The sequence below is a fragment of the Homo sapiens genome, chromosome 2 (assembly GCF_000001405.40).
Source record: "Homo sapiens chromosome 2, GRCh38.p14 Primary Assembly".
Classification (NCBI taxonomy): Eukaryota; Metazoa; Chordata; class Mammalia; order Primates; family Hominidae; genus Homo; species Homo sapiens.
The window spans coordinates 199823876-199842741 of NC_000002.12; the positions used below are offsets into that span (position 1 = coordinate 199823876).

At 39.8% G+C, this 18866-nt stretch overlaps 1 protein-coding gene across 31 annotated transcripts in view; it reads right to left on the bottom strand.

The window, feature by feature from the left end:
- Window positions 1-18866, bottom strand: part of FTCDNL1 (formiminotransferase cyclodeaminase N-terminal like) — a 187358-nt gene that overhangs the window by 160041 nt on the left and 8451 nt on the right. The window contains exon 4 of one of the 31 annotated variants that reach the window (XM_047444174.1): window positions 172-424. The exons of the other annotated variants lie outside the window; for them this stretch is intronic. Coding sequence (XP_047300130.1) covers window positions 420-424 — 5 coding nt within the window. The 3' untranslated portion in view covers window positions 172-419. Of the gene's footprint in view, window positions 1-171; window positions 425-18866 lie in introns of those variants that run through there. 31 annotated transcript variants of the gene reach the window in all.

Here is an 18866-nt window from a genome sequence, read left to right on the forward strand (position 1 = left end):
CATTGACTTCTCTCTAGCTATGAAACTCCTAGATGGCCTCTTCTTCCAATAGAATGTTGTTTCATCAACACTGAAAATCTGTTTAGTGTAGCCACCTTCATCCTTTTCTTTAAATTTTTTGTAGAGACAGGGTCTCACTATATTGCCCAGGCTGGTCTCAAACTCCTGGGCTCAAGCAATCCTCCCACCTCGGTCTCCCAAAGTGCTGGAATTACAGGAATGGCCACCATGGCCAGCCTACCTTCATCCTTGCTCTTAGCTAGAGATGCCAGGCTCCTGGGTAACTTGTTGCAGCTTCTACATCAGCACTTGCTGCTTTACCTTGCACTTTTATGTTATGGAGGGAGCTTCTTTCCTTCAATCTCATGAACCAACCTCTGCTAGATTCCAACTTTTCTTCCGTAGCATTGTCAGCTCTCTCACCCTTCACAGAATAGAGGAAGAATTACAGCCTTTCTTTGGATTAGGCTTTGGCTTAAGGAAATGTTATGGCTTGTTTGATCTTCTATCCAGACCACTAAAACTTTCTTCATATCAGCAATAAAGCTGTGTTGCTTTCATATCATTCATGTGTTCACTGTAGTAACACTTTTATTTTCCTTCAAGAACTTATCCTTTGCATTCACAACTTGGCCAGCTGGCACAAGAGGCCTAGCTATTGACCTATCTCAGCTTTCAACATGCCTTCTTCACTAAGTTTAATCATTTCTAGCTTTTTATTTAAAATAAAAGATGTGAGACTATTCCTTTCACTTGAACACTTAAAGGCCATTGTTGGGTTATTAATTGGCCTAATTTCAATACTGTTGTGTCTCAGTAAATAGGGAAACCCAAGGAAAGGAAGAGAGATGGGGGAACAGCCAGTCGATGAAGCAGTTGGAATAACAACATTTATCAGTTATCTCTTATGTGGTTGTGATTCGTGGCACCCCAAACATCAAAGATCACTGATCGCAGATCACCATAAGAGACATAATAGTGGCTGGGCATGATGGCTCATGCCTGTAATCCCAGCACTTTGGGAGGCTGAGGCAGGCAGACTGCCTGAGCTCAGGAGTTAGAGACCAACCTGGGCATCATGGTGAAACCCCGTCTTTACAAGAAATACAAAAATTAGCCTGGCATGGTGGCATACACTTGTGGTGCCAGCTACTTGGGAGGCTGAGATCAGAGGATTGCTTCAGCCTGGGAGACCAAGGCTGCAGTGAGCCATGATTATGCCACTGCACTCCAGCCTGGGTGACAGAGCAAGACCCTGTCTCAAAAAAAAAAAAAGAAAAAGAAAAAGAAAAAAAAGATAAAATAGTAATGAAAAGGTTTGAAATATTGTGAAAATTACCAAAATGTGATAGAGACACAAAGTGAACACACGCTGTTGGAAACATGGCACCAATGGACTCACTTGATGCAGGGTTGCCACAAACCTTTAATTTGTAAAAAATGCAATAAAGTCACAATGAGCAAGGTAAGCCGTACTAAAAGGCCACAGCTCCTGGAATGGGGCGGGGCTAGAGGTCAGGGATACAGTCAACTGAAGTTTAGGAATTGCAAGATAATGTTTAGGTAGTGATATAGTTGGGATGTTTGTCCCCTCCGAATCTCATGTTGAAATGTGATCCCCAGTGTTGGAGGTGGGGCCTAATGGGAGGAGTTTAAGTCATAGTAGCAGATCCTTCATGAGTGGCTTGGTGCCCTCCCATGGTAATGAGTGAGTTCTTACTTTATAAGTTCACACAAGAGCTGGTTGTTTAAGGAGCCAGCATCTCTCTTGCTCCCTCACTCACCATGCGACACACCTGTTCCCCCTTTGCCTTACAGCTATGAGTAAGAGCTTCCTAAGCCTTTACCAGAAGTCCAGTAGATGCTGGTGTCATGCTTGTACAGCCTGCAGAACCATGAGCCAAATAAACCTCTTTTCTTTATAGATTACCAGGTCTGGAGTATTCATTCATAGCAATGCAAATGGACTAACACAGGCAGTGAGCTAAATTCTCCCCTCAAATCTACAATGGTTGAGGAGGTGGCATGAGAAATGGGAGAATATTTAGGAAAGGTTAGAACTAAATTCTGACAACTCTCCAAATGTTCTGGTCACATGTATGTGCTCCAGCCATAACTTAGTGTAACTCACATTTGGGCTGCTGCAGTAGCCTAAAAGCACAAACTGTGATGCCCAAAAACCTGTCCTACTAAATACATGTTTCCTGGCCCTGCCCAGCTCTTTGCCTACCCAGGCCAGCACCTCCATTTGGAGCTACAGTTCTGTAGCACTGCCTAAGTTTATATAGGCAGAATGCTTACAAAGGAGATTCTTTAATCTGGTTCCTAAAGGGCAAAGCACTGGGAGATATTTGTGGTAGCAACCCCCAGCTGTCTGCAATTGGAGATTCAAGGGCAGGGGTGCATTTTAATTTAGTGGAAACAACATATGCTTTTAAGTCCAGAAAGTATAGGATTGAATACCATTTCTGCTCCTTAATAGCTATTTGGGAGATCTTGAACAATTTACTTTACATTTCTGAGTCTTAACCTCTCTATATGTAAAATGGAAAAGAAAGAAAAAAAAAAACCTTTCTCTAAATCACCAATTCCTTATCTAGAAATTTCTCAGTCAAAAAAAAAAAAAAAAAAAGAATAGGTTGGGTGCGGTGGCTTACGCCCATAATCCCAGCACTTTGGGAGGCTGAAGCAGGTGGATCACTTGAGGTCGACAGGTCAAGCCCAGCCTGGCCAACATGGTGAAGCCCCATTTCTACTAAAAATACAAAAATTAGCTAGGTGTGGTGGCATGCACCTGTAATCCCAGCTACTTGGAGGCTGAGGCAGGAGAATCACTTGAACACAGGAGGCGGAGGCTGCAGTGAGCCGAGATTGCGCCATTGCAATTCAGCCTGGGTGACAGAGCAAGACTCCGTCTCAAAAAACAATAAATAATAATAAGCGTTTATCCTGTCCTTCCTGCATGAACAGTATTTTAGGGTAGCTAGATAGTCCAAACTGATGAGAAAAAAATTTTAATAGAAAAAAATCCAACTAATAAATGCGGAAGTGATGATAGAATTAGAAAATCACAATTTTTCAGCACCTAAAAATATGATTGTATTAGGCAAAGATTATGAATGGATGAAACCGTCCTGAAAAGTCAATTAGGAACTTCACAACATCAAAGGCAGCTGATGTTTGTATCACCAGAAGTGAGACACCTAGGCACTGCAGCCTCCTGGTGTGATGCAGTGTGAAGCACACAGCCCACATTTGAAGAATTCCTGCCAAAAAAATTAAACTTCAACTAATCAGACCTCTGGAGCTAACAGAGTTTACAGGAAATGTGAGGGATAAAGACACAAATTAAATGACACCATAAGGAAGCAAACAGATCCAGAATGTGGAAATTCTATAGGATAACTGACCCAGATTCTGCTACAAGTAAATGGCAGGGAAAAAACTGGGGGATTTCGGGGGACAGGGAGACTGGTGTAGATCAAAACAGACTCAGAGATACAACAATCAGTGTGATGTATGAGCCATGTTAGATCCAGATTCAAACAGGCCCCTATAAAGAGATATTTGCCTGGATTATACACTGGGTATTAGATGGTATCATCAAATTATCATTTTGTTGGGTGTGATGGTGGCATTACAGTTATGTAAGAAAATATTCGAATTGCTTAGAGATGTATATTAATTATGAAGGAGTGAAATACCATGATCTTTGGAATTTGCTTTAAAATTATTTACTAAAAACAAAAGGAAAATGAAGGAGATGCAAGGAGAGAAAAATAACAGAAAGAAAAGGAAAAAAAAAGAAAAAGAAACTATCCCATAGGACGGATAGAGATTGCATAAATTAAGAAAACCATGTAGCCCAATGTCTGGTACAGAGTATAACTCAATAAATAGCTCCCTTTCCCTTTTGCAAGCCTAAGCCACTGTTCTGAATCCTGAGTTCTGAATACCCTCCTAGGCTGGCATGTTCCTACTTACTAGGAATGCTCCCATATTTTAACAATTCCTCTTCCATTCTGTCATCTACATAAATACATCATGGAAGAAATCAAGCTTGATTTTTGTTCTCTAATGAAGCAAGAAAATGAAATATTACATTATTCTCGTTACAATGAAGAGACAACCAAGGCCAAAATAATATTTAGCAATAAAGACAGTACAATACCCTCTTCATACTCAAGGAAATAACATTTGTGTTTCTAATGACTGCAATCCAAGGGCCTATAGTAAGTAGGTATTTGTAATTTTGTTGGAAAACAAATTTAGATGGCCTGTGTTTCAAAAAAAATCTCATATTTAGTCAGAGAATTACTTACTACCAAGCTATTTTATTTGTGATATGAATTGTATATTCAAAAAGGCTAATTTTGATTTTATATTTTGATTTTCTCAATTAATCTGCATAAAAATCATCCCCTGTAACTTCAAATGTCCACATCAAGCAAATCATATTGGCCTCTTAAAGAAGATAATAATTCTGAATACTTCAAGCTCAAGCCTGTGGAAAACTGTCTCATCAGTTTTCAAGTAAGTGGCATTATCATTTAAAGCAATAGTTTTGTTCAGATTTGCTGTAAAGCCACTGCTCACTGTAGCTCTCTTAGCTGTTTGTTCCACTTCCCTCTACAGTGGAACCAAACTTGAGCTTGTGAAAGAGTCCCAGGAAACCCAAACTCCTGAATTAACTCCTGCTTCATATTTGTGTCCTCCCTCTCCGGGAATTCATTTCTCCCATTCTTGTGTTAGAATATTCTACAGCTTTTGTTTGTTTTTATTGATAGTATCAAATCTAATAGACTTGTATTAAATAATCTTGAGCTTTTGTTTTCCATTCTGAGTTTCAAAATCCCAGAAGGCAGTGCCTTCTAGTTACTCAATAAAGGTTTATCAAATTGAATGAACTGACTTTGCTTCCTAAGCACTTTGTTGATGTTGGTGCTGCAAACCTGGAATATCAGTGTCCATTCTAAACCAACAAATGGGAGTAAGGAGTCACTCTGCTAACAAAACGAGAAGAGAGTTCAACACCAGTGAGAACATATTGTATTCCTAGTGAGAAACCATGGGATCAATTTTCCACAGTCGTGTTAACGTTTTATGCTCTGTCCTTAGAGTAGTGGTCATATTCACAGCAGTCAAAACCACATGTACCTGTGGGATATCCATGCTGATCAGCTTTGTTAGACAAGGCATATATATGAATCACCTGTTCAGAAAGAACATAAGGCCATCATGCAGTTTTGAAACAGGCAAAACAAAACTGCAGCTTCCTAAATCACTCTTTATTAAAAGACCAGTTTTTTTTAGGTTATTTTTTTCCCCCAATTTAAGAAGCTTTTCCCACCGCTATGGTCAGTGGTTCTGCCCTTCCCAATTTCTCTGGTCGTATTCTAAAAGGGTTGATTTAAGGAAATACTGAAATGCTTTTTAAAAATTTATATTTTTTAACCTTCGTGTTTGGCTGACCTTATTTGCTATAAAATAATTTTTAGTCATTTCTAAATATGAATATCTAGCACTTTCTTTTCAGGCTTAACTTTAGAGACTTCTGTGAGTTTGGTTATATTCCTCTTTGCAGGAGAATCGATGCAATTAGATGTTTCTCAGTGCAATGAGAAGTTTAGGCTTCATATTCATAACACAAATGTCTTTTCTAAGCCTATAACAGACATAATTGTGGCTAAAATGTAGTATTTTATTAAGAATATACAACAGTAAAAGTAGTACATGAATTCAGGACTTAAGAATCTGCTTAATTAAATGTATCTGTCTACAGTGGTATTTAATATCATTCTTTTCCCTTCTGCTTTTCTTTCTTTCAGGAGCAATTTAGGACTACCGATATAAATGGACTTGAAATTGAATTGTTAAACAGAACTGCATTTCAGCAGCTCAAGGAATATAACTCATTCGTTTTGTTATATTTCTGATGCCAGCCAAAATGCAGAACTTAGAAAAAAGACCTCAAGTCTGTCATTCCCTTTCCTCTAGGAAAAGTTAAATTCTCTTTTCTGTGACCTACTGCATAAATGCATGGTTCATTATTATTCTTAAACCTGGATTCAAATGATACTCAAAAAAGTATCAAACCTTTCCCTAAGCACAAACCAATCAAAAAGAGCATTTTCCAACCCATATCACCTGAGACTCAAATCAAGTAGGAAAAAAAAAAAGCTCAAAATCTAAAAATTAAACTGGGTGCTAGACTTAAAATCTTACAAGCATCCTCTAGTTTTAGTATAGCTGTTAATATAGCCAAGTTTTTTTTATTTAGTTGATTTCTTACTTTCATATTTTTTAATGAGAAGAAGGTAAAATTCTCTACCGGAAGTAATAAAAATTTCAGATGATAAGACAGATAGCCCTAAAAGTTTTTGCCTAAACTCATGCACATAAACTAAAACTGGCCGATTAATCTCGCTACAGTATGTTTAAAAAGAGTGGCATTTGAAAATACAGTATAGCAGTGTGATGCTGCACTGCCTCTAATTAAGTGCAGACTAGGAAAAATTATTCTTAGTTTAGTCTATGAAAGGGGGGTGGTGGAAATTTCTCTCTTTGCAATTCAAAATTATTTTAAAGATAGAACATTTCTTTTCCAATGTCTTCATTAAACAGAGCTGTTAAGAATTGTCTCCCAACCATCCCCAAAGAGTACAAAGCTAACCAGTATTCGTCCCATATGCTCTGCTTTGAAGTGTGAAGCTGTGACCATCCCACTAGACTCTTACACCACCATCAAAGCCGTCTCATTACGCCCAGTGCTGAGAGTTAAAGCGCGGGGCCCTAACCGCTCCAACACAAACACTGCATTAACAAAGCGACCGCAATATTCCTCCCCCACATGGCTAGAACTTGAAGAAATTTTTACCATATGTACACATGCACGAGATACAGAAATTTATTGTGCTAGAACATCATTGAGAAGCACATTAAACATGCTGACTAGAACTGGATGTTATTCTAAGGGACTGAAAAAAATAAAATGCAGCTGATCTTTATGATGAAAGAGCAGAAACATCAGGCTGAAAAATGAGATCAAGTGCAATTCCTAAATTGCATTTCGACTGACACGTTCTGTTGCCTGTTTTTTCTTGAGGTAGCAGAAAACAATTTAAGGGAAGAAACAAAACTCTACTGCACATCACTGGATGCTACTGTTTACTCCATCATGTTTCATTTCAAAAGGACGAACTTAAAAACCACGATAGGCTGATAACAACACCTATGCCTCCAAATGAACAGGCCTTGCTAAGAAAAATTTCACTTGCATCTCTGAGTTGTCAGTTTATTATTGGCATGACAGTAAAAAATAAAATGCAAAGAAAAAACTTATTTATTATGGAAATGAGGTCAGGATAAGCACTTAATTGATTTTCATATAAAATTAATCTGGAAAAAACATTTTTAAATGTTTTAACCTAACATTTCCATTCCTTTGTATTTGCTCTAGGAAAAGCCTTGCATTTGTGCACAAGAGGGACTATTCAAGAATGTTCATCATTTCATTATTTGATCTAGGAAAAACAAGAAACAATCTGAATGTCCACAAACAGGAGAACAGACAAAATGTGTTATATTCATATTATGATAATTATAAAGCAGGTAGAATGAAATAGAACTATATGTAATACCATGGATATATTTCTAAGCTATCTTGCTGAATGAAAAAATTATAGTATAAGAGCATTTCTAATACAAACATACACAAGCAATACTATATTGGATTTATTGGTTTATACATGTATGTAAGTAAAGCATGTAGAAAATTCTGGATTTGGGGCATGCTATACTCTTACCATAACTTGGCAGGGGGACATTCAGAGAACCAGGAATGAGAGTAGTGATCAGAGGTGAATTTTAACCTTAACTGTAGTACTCGAAATTTTGAAACAGAGAATTAATTAATTTTAAAAAATCAGGCAAGGTCTAATAAATAAATGGTTGTGAGGATTCTTTGTTCTATTACTGTCTTGATAGAAAAAACTACAAGTGAGTTTCTTAATGTGTCGAGGTCTGCTTTCCAGCTATGGAATGAAAAAACTGGACCTATCTACTCTCCTCCCTATAAACAGAAAAATAATGTGCCCTCAAACTCTTAAAATAACATACAATTTCATGGAGATACAGATACAAGTATTCATGAAAGTATATAGTATATCAGGAGTTTGGGGTATATTTTACATATATATTTCATAACCAATAATCCAAGAAGGTTGTTATTTCCTTGCATATAACATATAGTTTCATAGAGATATGTATACAGAAGCTTATTATTCCTTTGTAGGGCATATGCTGATATATTTACCACTTTGTGCAGATGTGATATAATTCATTTAAAGAATTATACTTTCCTGAGTGGCCTAACATATTTAACTTATACTGTACTCCATAACTCATTTTATTGTGTCCTGTGGTGCTTTCTAATAGCTTCACACACAGTTATTTCATGGACTCAGTTTTGTTGGGGGAAGGTACTTTGTTATATTTCTCTAAAAGTCACAATAGCATTTACTATAGGAAATGGAAACATAACAGGCACTCCAAGACTGTCTGGATGTTCACAAACACGTCTCCATTTATTTTCATAATATTTCTCTGAAATAGGTACTGAATATCATTTTGCAAATGAAGAACTGATGAAGGAGAAGCTGTCTGCTATAGAACTTAAATTTCAGAGCTGAAAGCACTTCAGACATCTCTTGCTCAAGTGATTTTCTAACATCTTGCTGTGCAATCCCTTTTCTCAGAAGGTACCTTATTTGGAATCTTGATATATAAAACAGAAAAGGGGGATCCACTCTCTTTATGGTGAAAGAGACTCTCCTGGGCTCCAACTGCTCTGTACCCCCTCCACAAGGCAATGGAGAATCACTAAAAATAATGACAGCCGGTAGGAGGCAGAGGACCTGGGGCTTTACACAGTCATCGATTATCATAACCATCCTGATAGGATGACACTATTCTCCCATTTTACAGATACAAAAACTCTTAGAGACTGAAAAAGAAGAGACTAAAAAATTTTCTCAAGCCAGTTGGCAAACAAGTAGCAGACGTGGGATTTGAACTCAGATTGTTCAGCTCCCTAATTTTTTTTTTTTTTTTTAAGACAGGGTCTTCCTCTGTTTCCCAGGCTGGAGTCCAGTGGCACCATCACAGCTCACTGCAGCCTTGCCTTCCAGACTCAAGCAATCCTCCCACCTCAGCCTCCCAAGTAGCTGAGATTAGAGGTACACAGCACCACACCTGGCTAATTTTTTTAAAATTCCTTGTAAAGATGAAGTCTCACAGTGTTGCCCAAGCTGGTCTGGAACTCCTGAGCTCAAGCAATCCACCTGCCTCGACCTCCCAAAGTGCTGGGATTACAGGCATGAGCCAGTGTGTCCAGTTTCAAATTCTTATCCTGCCCACTTCCCATCTTGCTTCCCTGTCTAACCACAGTGGAATGTGATGTTATTGGTTAGTTCATGCTGATCAGAGACTGACAGGCAGATCTACACATATACACCCTGAGTGGGTGGAATTGGTATTGACCTTTCACTTGCATATATTGCTCCCCGTTTGTTAAGGACCTCTCACTCTCTTTCAGAGAAGCTATAGAGATGCTAAAGGTTCCCCAAAGAGTAGTTCAGATGGGTCATGGCAAAGCCTTGGGGATGGCCAGGAATCCTTCTGCTGGATAACATATCAGCAATGTATAAATAGCCTTCAGCATTAAGCCTACTCCCCACAGCAACAAAGAGTTAACTTGGCTCTTCCACCTATTTGGTGCTCCTCAGAAGGACAAACAAATGCTTTGCATGAGTTACTTTGCTTTCCTTGTGTGTGTTCAGCTCTCAAGCCTCTTCTTGGCTGCTGGCCACAGACAACACACAATAATCTCTCAGTGGTCTCAAAGCTGGCACTACCTCTCACCATTTGCCTGCCAAAGGAGTCAAGTCCTGCCCTCCCCCTTTTCATATCCCCACCTTTCAGATAACGACCATTTCCACACACCCTTCTCCAACCTCTTTCAACTATGTTTTGGAGAAAAATGCTTTCTGCCCATTACTGATGTTTTCTTCCACATGGAGAGAGCTCTGCTCATCTTGCTGTCTGTTACAGGCTGAATTGCGTTCTCCAAAAATGCATATGTTGAAGTCCTGGCTCCCAGTACCTCAGAATATGACCTTATTCTGGAATAGGGTCATTGCAGATGTAATGAGTTAAGATGAGGTCATACTACAGTAGGTTGGGTCCCTAATCCAATATGACTGGGGTCCTCATAAAAAGGGGAAATTGGGACACAGACAATATACAGAAAGAATGCCACGTGACCATGAGGAAGGTCAAGTGCAAGCCAAGATGGGACAGGTTCTCCCTCACACCTCTCAGAAGGAACCAACCCTGCTGCCACCCTGATCGCGGACTTCTAGCCTCCAGGATTGTGAGACAATAAATCTCTGTGGTTTAAGCCACCCAGACTGTGGTACTTTGTTACTACAGCCCTAGTAAACTAAAACACCAGCCTCGCTCCCTCCTAACTTTCATTCTCTGATGGGAAGTTTGGGAAAGAAACTGGATGTGCACAGGCCCACCCTGCCTCCCTCTTCCTTCTTAGGAGCTGGTTTTCAGCAGGAAACACACATTACAGGCCACTCCTCCTCACCATAAAGCTGTCCAGCCTCAGGCCTTGGCTGCCCGGTACTGCCTGTGACTGGCTGGGTTAGTCTAATTCTCTGGTGGGGTAGTCCCAGCCGCCAATACTAGTTTGATCAGTAATAAAGTTATTGTAGTCTCCATTTCTCATCTGCCTTTCTCTTCTGTGGGACTGGTTCCAAATGTGGGAAAGGAAGACGTGTATTATTTGTCACGCTCTCCTCTTAAACCTACCCCAATACTCTTATTTCCCTGAGGGGAGGGAGTGAAGTGACCTTCTTCTTTCTCTACTCTCTTTCTAATTTCGTTGCTACGTTATATAAACTTTGTGCAATGCTTTCCCAAAGCCTCTGCTTTCGATTGTCAGAAATTCTAGCTGTGTGGTGGCTCATGCCTATAATCCCAGAGCTTTAGGAAGCCAAGGCAGGAGGATCACTTGAGGCCAGGAGTTCCAGACCAGCCTGGGCAACATAGCAAGACCCTGTCTCTACAAAAAAAAAATTTAAAGATTAGCTGGACATGGTGATACATGCCTGTAGTCCTAGCTATTCAGGAGTCTGAAGCAGAAGAATCACTTGAGCCCAGGAGGTCAAGGCTGCAGTGAGCTAGGATTGCACTACTGCACTCCAGCCTGGGCAACAGGCAAGTTCCTGTCTCTAAAATAAATAAATAAATCAAACATGAACACTGTTACTTCTGCATTGTCACTATAACAATCCTATAATCCCCTCAAGGTAGGTAACTCAGACAGTCCCACACAGGCTACGGGGAAAAGAAAAGCACAACAATTAGTATCTCAAAATATTATCTTACTACATATGTTTAGGTAATTAAAATTGGAGAATGAATTATTCAACCTATGTAACTTTAATAGTCACATAATAAACGATAATTAATGATGCTATAATTATTGTAATATCATAATACATTGTTGTCATTATTATTGCAGGCTGTGAGTCTCCCGAGAAGCACACTCTTACTCTACCAATAGAGAATAGGTGGATGGGTTGGTGGGTGCATGACAGTGTGGAGAGACTTGCACTTAATCTACAAGCCCATCAACGTCATTAACATCATTATATCATTTCTTCAGAGTTTTCTAATCCTAGTGGCCTTGACACTGGAAGCCACTATAAAAGCTAGGAAGGAAAGATAAAAGGAAAAGGGATTCAGGAAAAACATCTCCACAGTTATGGGGCCTGAGCTCAAAAATACCAGGGCCTAGTATTCAGTCAGTTGCTATAAACCCTTACTAGATCCACAATCTCTAAAACACTATCAGCAATCATATAAAATACCAAACTCTGAGTGTTGTAGATATCTACTGAAAATCAGAAAACCTAAAACCCCTCAACTTTGAGGCCCCCTGGGGCTCCCTTTGTTAGTAAGGGGTGAATGTTTCATGTCTCCCACAATGACTCCTGGTTTAACACTGAGTGTCTTAAGAGACCTTTTACCTAGGTGAAGTGGTTGGCTGGGGAGGGGGCTCCTAATTTTTAGCTGTAAATCTCAACTGTGGCTTCTAGATTGGGAAACAATTACAAGAAGTGTATAGTCAGGCAGCATGGATTTCATGTATCCCCCCATTTGTTCCAATTAGGAGATTCTTATAAGACATTTATTCTTGTTGATATTTCTTTTTCTGTTTGTTTGTTTTGTGTTTGAGATAGGGTCTCGCTCTGTTGCCCAGGCTGGAGTACAAGTAGCACATCATGGCTCACTGCAGCCTCAACCTCCTGGGCTCAAGGGATCCTCCCATCTCAGCTTCCCAAGTAACTAAGACTACAGGCACGCACTACCACACCCAGCTAATGTTTTTTATTTTTATTCTTTGTAGAGACGAGGTCTCCCTATGTTGCCCAGGCTGGTCTTGAACTCCTGGGCTCAAACAATCCTCCCACCTTGGCCTCCCAAAGTGCTGGGATTATAGGCATGAGCCACCACTCCCAGACACTTGTCAATATTTCAATAAACCCTATTGCTTTTACATCAAGAGTGAGACAGGGGGCCAGCCATGGTGGGCAGATCCCTTGAGCCTAGGAGTTTGAAACCAGCCTGGGCAACACAGGGAGACCCCATCCTACAAAAAATACAAAAATTAACCAGGCATGGTGGTACATGCTGTAGTTCCAGCTATTCGGGAGGTGGAGGTGGCAGGATCACTTGAGTCTGGAAGGTCAAGGCTACAGTGAGCCACAATCATGCCACTGCACTCAGCCTGGGTGACAAAGCAAACCCTGTTTCAAAAAAAAAGGAAGAGTGATACAGGGAAGGAGTAAAAGTCCATAGCAGGGTATGGTATCAAGCTGTGAGCAACTGGGACTCAATCCTGCTGAGATGGGCCTCAGAATTGTCCATCTCAGGGACAAAAGAGGCAAGCATTTATCCACCAGCTCTGGTCCCCCACAGGCCAAGTGTTGCCCGATGGGGTTAACTTGCTTGCTCACTCACACTGCAGGTTGTAGCAGAGCCACAGTAAGAGAAAAGAGTGCAGCTTTTTCAAGTATGGCTGGGTTCATCCATAACTGCTGGTCATGGAAGATTAAGTTTGTTTATCCCAGTTCTCCCATTTGGCCTTTCCTTCTTCATTAGTACCTCTGTTTTACAGTAGTTGGTAGACTCCTCTTGCATTTATTCAGCCTGTGGCAATATGCATTTATGAGCAACCCGGTAACTCTCCTTCATAGTTAAAATGTACTAAAGTCACTGGAAATCAATCTTAATATTTTAAGTACTTTCCCAATGCACAATCCCTTGTTTTCTAAGATTTTTCTATGGTGGCAGTATTCCTGTAATTCTTCAACTAAATGCTATGCCCTAAATATGTTTACACACATTTGTAAAATCAACTATTGTTTTTATGCTATGGCAATGAGGGTAGTGTTGATGGTGGTTAGAACTATATCAGAACCCAGCATCTAAATTGACTGATCTCAACCAAATCCAACACTGTTTTATGAGACAATCTCCATAGCAACTGGAGAATCAGAGTAGAAATTCTCAAAGTGAAAAGTTGTTCCTGATTTGCCAGATCAGCCCATGTTTTGACAATCTGTAATAAGGTAATCAAAGGGTCTCAAGACTACCATGGGAGTGTTGACGCTGTGTGAATGTGTCATGGCACACATCCTCCAAGTCATAAGAATAATTGAAAAAAATCTACAAGGCTGATCATTCTGATCAAAGTCCTTAATGTTTTATATATTTTTTTAAAAAAATCAAAACAATAAGTATCAATCATGCCAGCACTATTTCTTTATTCATGTAGCTTATATGGCTAGCATTTATCTTTCCAGTTCTCTAAATAATGACCTTAGTTGATACGGCATTGTGCAAACATTCATTTGATCAATGACATGAAACAAAAAGCAAGTTTCCATATCATTTATAAAATTCATTAACTATGGTCTAGACTCTTGCAGCTGAATATTATGAGCCTACAGGTTAGGTAAGCCTATTTTCACCGTCAAGGCATTGGGAGAATTTGCCTAAGAATCTTCTGCGCTGACCCCTCCCCTCTATCATCATTCAATCCTTCTCATGAAAGTTTGTGTGTCAACAGGCAACAGGGTCATGTTACAGAGACACTGGGTCTAGCATGTGAAAGCACAGAGTGAGGAAGACGTGGAACACATACAAGAAGCATCAGGGTCCACAGTATCCTGCAGAGAAATTGTCTATAGAAACTTGATAGAAGTACAGAAAATCAGACTAAATATCTTCAATACTGAGTAGAAGTCAGACAAAAGAAGAATGCTCCTGAAAATTTACCAATGATTCCAAGTGAGGTGAATGCATTGTTCCTGAAAGATCCAAGATGATTTAAAATCGCCAAGAGAAGTAGGGACTTCCAGGAAAACATGAAAATGTGGATCCATATGTTTACTTTCATTTCTTCCAAAAACCCCCAGGAAAAAAAATGGTATAAAGAAATTTTTTTCCCAAGCATTAACTCAAACCAACAGAAATAAAGAGGAGGCAATCGCACTGGAAGCTGCAGAGAAAATGTGTGAGGGGGATGTGATTCGGCAGACTCAAGGCAGCAAGTGGAGCAGCAGAGAAGCACCTGATGCATCCCACAGACGCCTGATAGAGGGCAGAACCAGCAGCCCCACTTTGGGAGGGAAGGCAAAGGGGAAGCTCAAAACCAGAAGATGGGTGGGAAGTCGGCTTCAGCAGCGGTCAGAGCCCATCCCTGATCCACACAGACAGGCACCTGCCCTGCCACACCCTGGTAGAATATGTAAGAGGTAAAACACAAGGTGTCTGGGCTGGGGAATATGGACACAGCTGAGGGCTGGGGTGAGTAATGAAAAGAGAGGAATTAAAAGAACATTTATATTGACAATCTAAACGTTGAGATTTTTTCAGCCCTTTTGTGCAACTCAGCTTCTAAAACACTGGCAGTGGTGTCTCCACTCGAGGCTGGACACTGGAAGATCCTCCTCTGGGGAACCTGAACAGCTCAAGAGGAAAGACCAAAAAAATACTGAAGTATGAGTTCCCCAAAGAAATGACCCAGCCATGTCAGCCTACAGTTGACAAACCCCACCTGCACACTTGGAGTGTCCATTCAGCCTTCCAGCATCCACTCAGAATAAGCAGCCAACACGGCATTATCAAACATTTAAGGAAAGCCTTTAAAAAAAAAAATACAGGCAAAAGCAACAGGGTGAAGGGGACAAGGTGAGGGGAGATTATACAGGAAGAAGAAACCGAAATGATCCATTAATGATACGTTCATGAAATAAAACCAGGATGTTCTCTTGAAAAGTAAAATAAAAGGAACATTTACAGAGTAAATGAAAGCACTTGGAAATTAATATAGAAGCCATAAAAACTTATGGAAGGCTGGGACAGCAAGTAGACGAAATTCACCAGAAAGTGTTATAAAAATAGAGTGATGGAAAATAAGAAAGAAAGTAAATGTAGAGGACCAGTAAAAGAGTTCTAATCTCCAAATAATGGGGCTTTTAGAAAGAACTGAGAAAATGGAAGAAATCATCAATGGAATAATTCAAAAGAATTGTCCAGCACTGATGGACAAAGTTTCAAAGAATAAAAGGACTCACCAAGTATCCAGCATAAGGGATGGAAACAGACCCATACAAAAGCACTTCAGGGAAATTTCAGAACACTGGGAACCAAGCAAAGACCTCACAAGCCTCCAGAGAGAAATGAAAGGTCACATACAAAAAATAAGGAGTCATAATGGTTTCAGAAGTCTCAATAGCAATGTGGAAACAAGAACTCAGTGACACAACATCTTTAAATTAAAGTTATTTCTAACCTGGAATTCTATAGCAAGACAAACTAACAATTCAGTGTGAAGGTAGAATAATGGCACTTTCCGATATGCAAAGGGTCACCAATGTACTTCATTTTTTTTCAGAAAGCTACTAAAGGATGTGTTCCACCAAAACGACACCATAAACCAAGAAAGTCAAAAAAGAAAAAGAGAAGACATGGGATTCAGGTTGAGGACCAGGGCATCCAACATGGAGAAAGATGAAAGTCATGATGATGGCTGAGGGGGATCCTATGAAGACAGTTATCCTCAACACACTGAGGGCAGCTAGTCCTAACTGGAACAGGTCAGAGTATTCTAGAAGATACTTCTTTAAGAAGATGGAATTGATAGAACCCTCAATGAATGCATGAAGTGTTCTATCTGAATGCATGGAGAGATGTAACTATTGACAGAATTTGGAGCTAAACCAGTGGTAAGTATATAAAACTCTAAGCAAACAAATTATCAAAAAGATAATGACCAACTCCAGCAAAAGTATAAAGTTATGCAGAAAAGGTAAAATAATAATAATGTTCTAAATGATTCATTGTGAACAATGTTTACATAGTTATAATAATGTAACCACTAACTATTGACCCAAATTTTGATATAAATATGTTGAGAGGTTGGAAGATTGGGAAGTGTGAGTGGTGTGTGTCTGTGTTTGTGTGAGTGTGTGTGTGTTAGAGATGAGAGGTGGGGTAAGGGGAAGCTAAATTTTCATATTCCACAGTGAGAAGTCAATAGATAATGCCTAAAACTGAAAGACCAAGACGTACCAGTGTTTAAGTGTGATATTTCGATATCTAGAGTTAAATCAATAAGGTAAAAGAGTAGAAAGTACTCAGCTGGCTCTGAGGAGAAGGAAATTGAAGTGTGTGTATGGTAGGAGGTAAAGGGGGTTAGATAGGTACTTAGAATTTTTAGAATAAACCCCCCTACAGTATGTGATTTTTAGCTACATGCCTGTATCATTTTGATAAAAACAAATAGAAAGAGAGGGAAGGAAGGAAGAAAAAAGAAAGAGAGAGAAGGAGGAAAGGAAATAATTTTAGAGACCTGGCTAGGGGCAGTAGCTCATGCCTGTAATCCCAGCACTTTGAGAGGCTGAGGTGGGGATTGCTTAAGCCTAGGAATTCAAGACCCACCTGGGCAACATGACAAGACCCTGTCTCTATAAAAAATACAAAAATGAGCCAGGTGTGGTGGCATGCACCTGTGATCACAGCTACTCAGCAGGCTGAGGTGGGAAGATTGTTTGAACTAGAGAGGCAGAGGTTGCAGTGAGCCGGGATCATGCCACTGCACTCCAGCCTGGCCAACCCAGCGAGATCCTGTCTTAAAAAAAAAAAAATTTAGAGACCTAATAGTGATAAAAATGGGATGTAGCCTAATAGATCAATTGTGAGTTTTTATAGAAAATGAAAACCAGCCAGATGCAGTGGCTCACACCTGTAATCCCAGCTACTGGGAAGGCTGAGACAGGAGAATCGCTTGAACACAGGAGGCGGGGTTTGCAGTGAGCCGAGATCGTGCACTGCACTCCAGCCTGGGTGACACAGCGAGACTCTGTCTCAAAAAATAAATAAATAAATAAATAAATACCAATGTCCAAAATATTGGGGAAAAACCTGTATGCTTTAAATAAATATAGACTAGATCTACATCTCACCTGAGCTCTAAACTGTATAACCAACCATCCCCTCAATATATTTATATCAAAATTTGGACCAATAGTTAGTGGTTACATTATTATACCTATGTAAACATTGTTCACGATGAATCATTTAGAACATTATTATTATTTTACCTCTGCCAACCTTTTACATGCTGTCAAATGACAGCATGTAAAAAAAATGTATTCATGCTCTTTCCCTCAAACCTCCTTTCTTCTGCCATTTTAAGTTATAACATTACCACACCACTGCTCTGTCCCTCACCAGCAACAGCCCATGGAATCTGTCCATTGTCTATTCTCTTAGGCCAATATCATCCTTCCAAACTGGTCAGCCTGCTTCCTGTCCATTCTCTATCATGCAGGCAGAGTGATCTTTCTAAAACTTAAAGCCAATCATTTAATTTTCTTGCTTAAAACACTTCAGTGGTTACCACTGCCTTTAGCACAAGATTTGAACCCTTCAACCTAACATCTAAAACTTCATAATCTAGCCAAGTGCGGTGGCTCATGCCTGTAATCCCAGCACTTTGGGAGGCCGAGGCCGGCAGATTGCTTGAGGTCAGGAGTTCAAGACTAGCCTGGCTAACATGGCAAAACCCCATTTCTACTAAAAATACAAAAAAAAAAACAATTAGCTGGGTATGGCAGTGCACACCTATAGTCCCAGCTACCTGGGAGGCTGAGGCATGAGAATCACTTGAGTCTGGGAGGCGGAGGTTGTAGTGAGCTGAGATTGCACCACTGTACTCCACCCTGGGCGACAGAGCAAGACTCCATCTCAAAAAATTTAAAAAAAATAAAACTTCATAATCTGGCCTCTGATTACCTCTTGAGACTCATTTCATAACATTCCCAGGAATGTGTTTCCCATTCCACACCTCTAAGTTCCATGCAGCCATACTGAAGTCCTTTGCAGGTGCTCAAGTTCAGGCTGCCCTCACCTCTGGGCCTCTGCATCACTGTTCCCTTTATTCTAAAAGTCCTCAAACTAAAATGATATGCAAAATTATGTGTGAGTGTATGTCTCTATGTATATATACACAATGCACATGCGTAAAAACTTGCAAAAATTGTTGACAGTTATTTATAAATCCTCTGAATACCAACTTTGGACCCACTTTAAGAACCTCATCCTGGACCCACCTTAAGAACCTCTTCCTGAAGCTATAAGCAAACTTACAGCTGATATTAAAAAGTTCTGAAATACGTTATTCAGCATTTTTGCATACAAAGTATACATAAATTACACATATC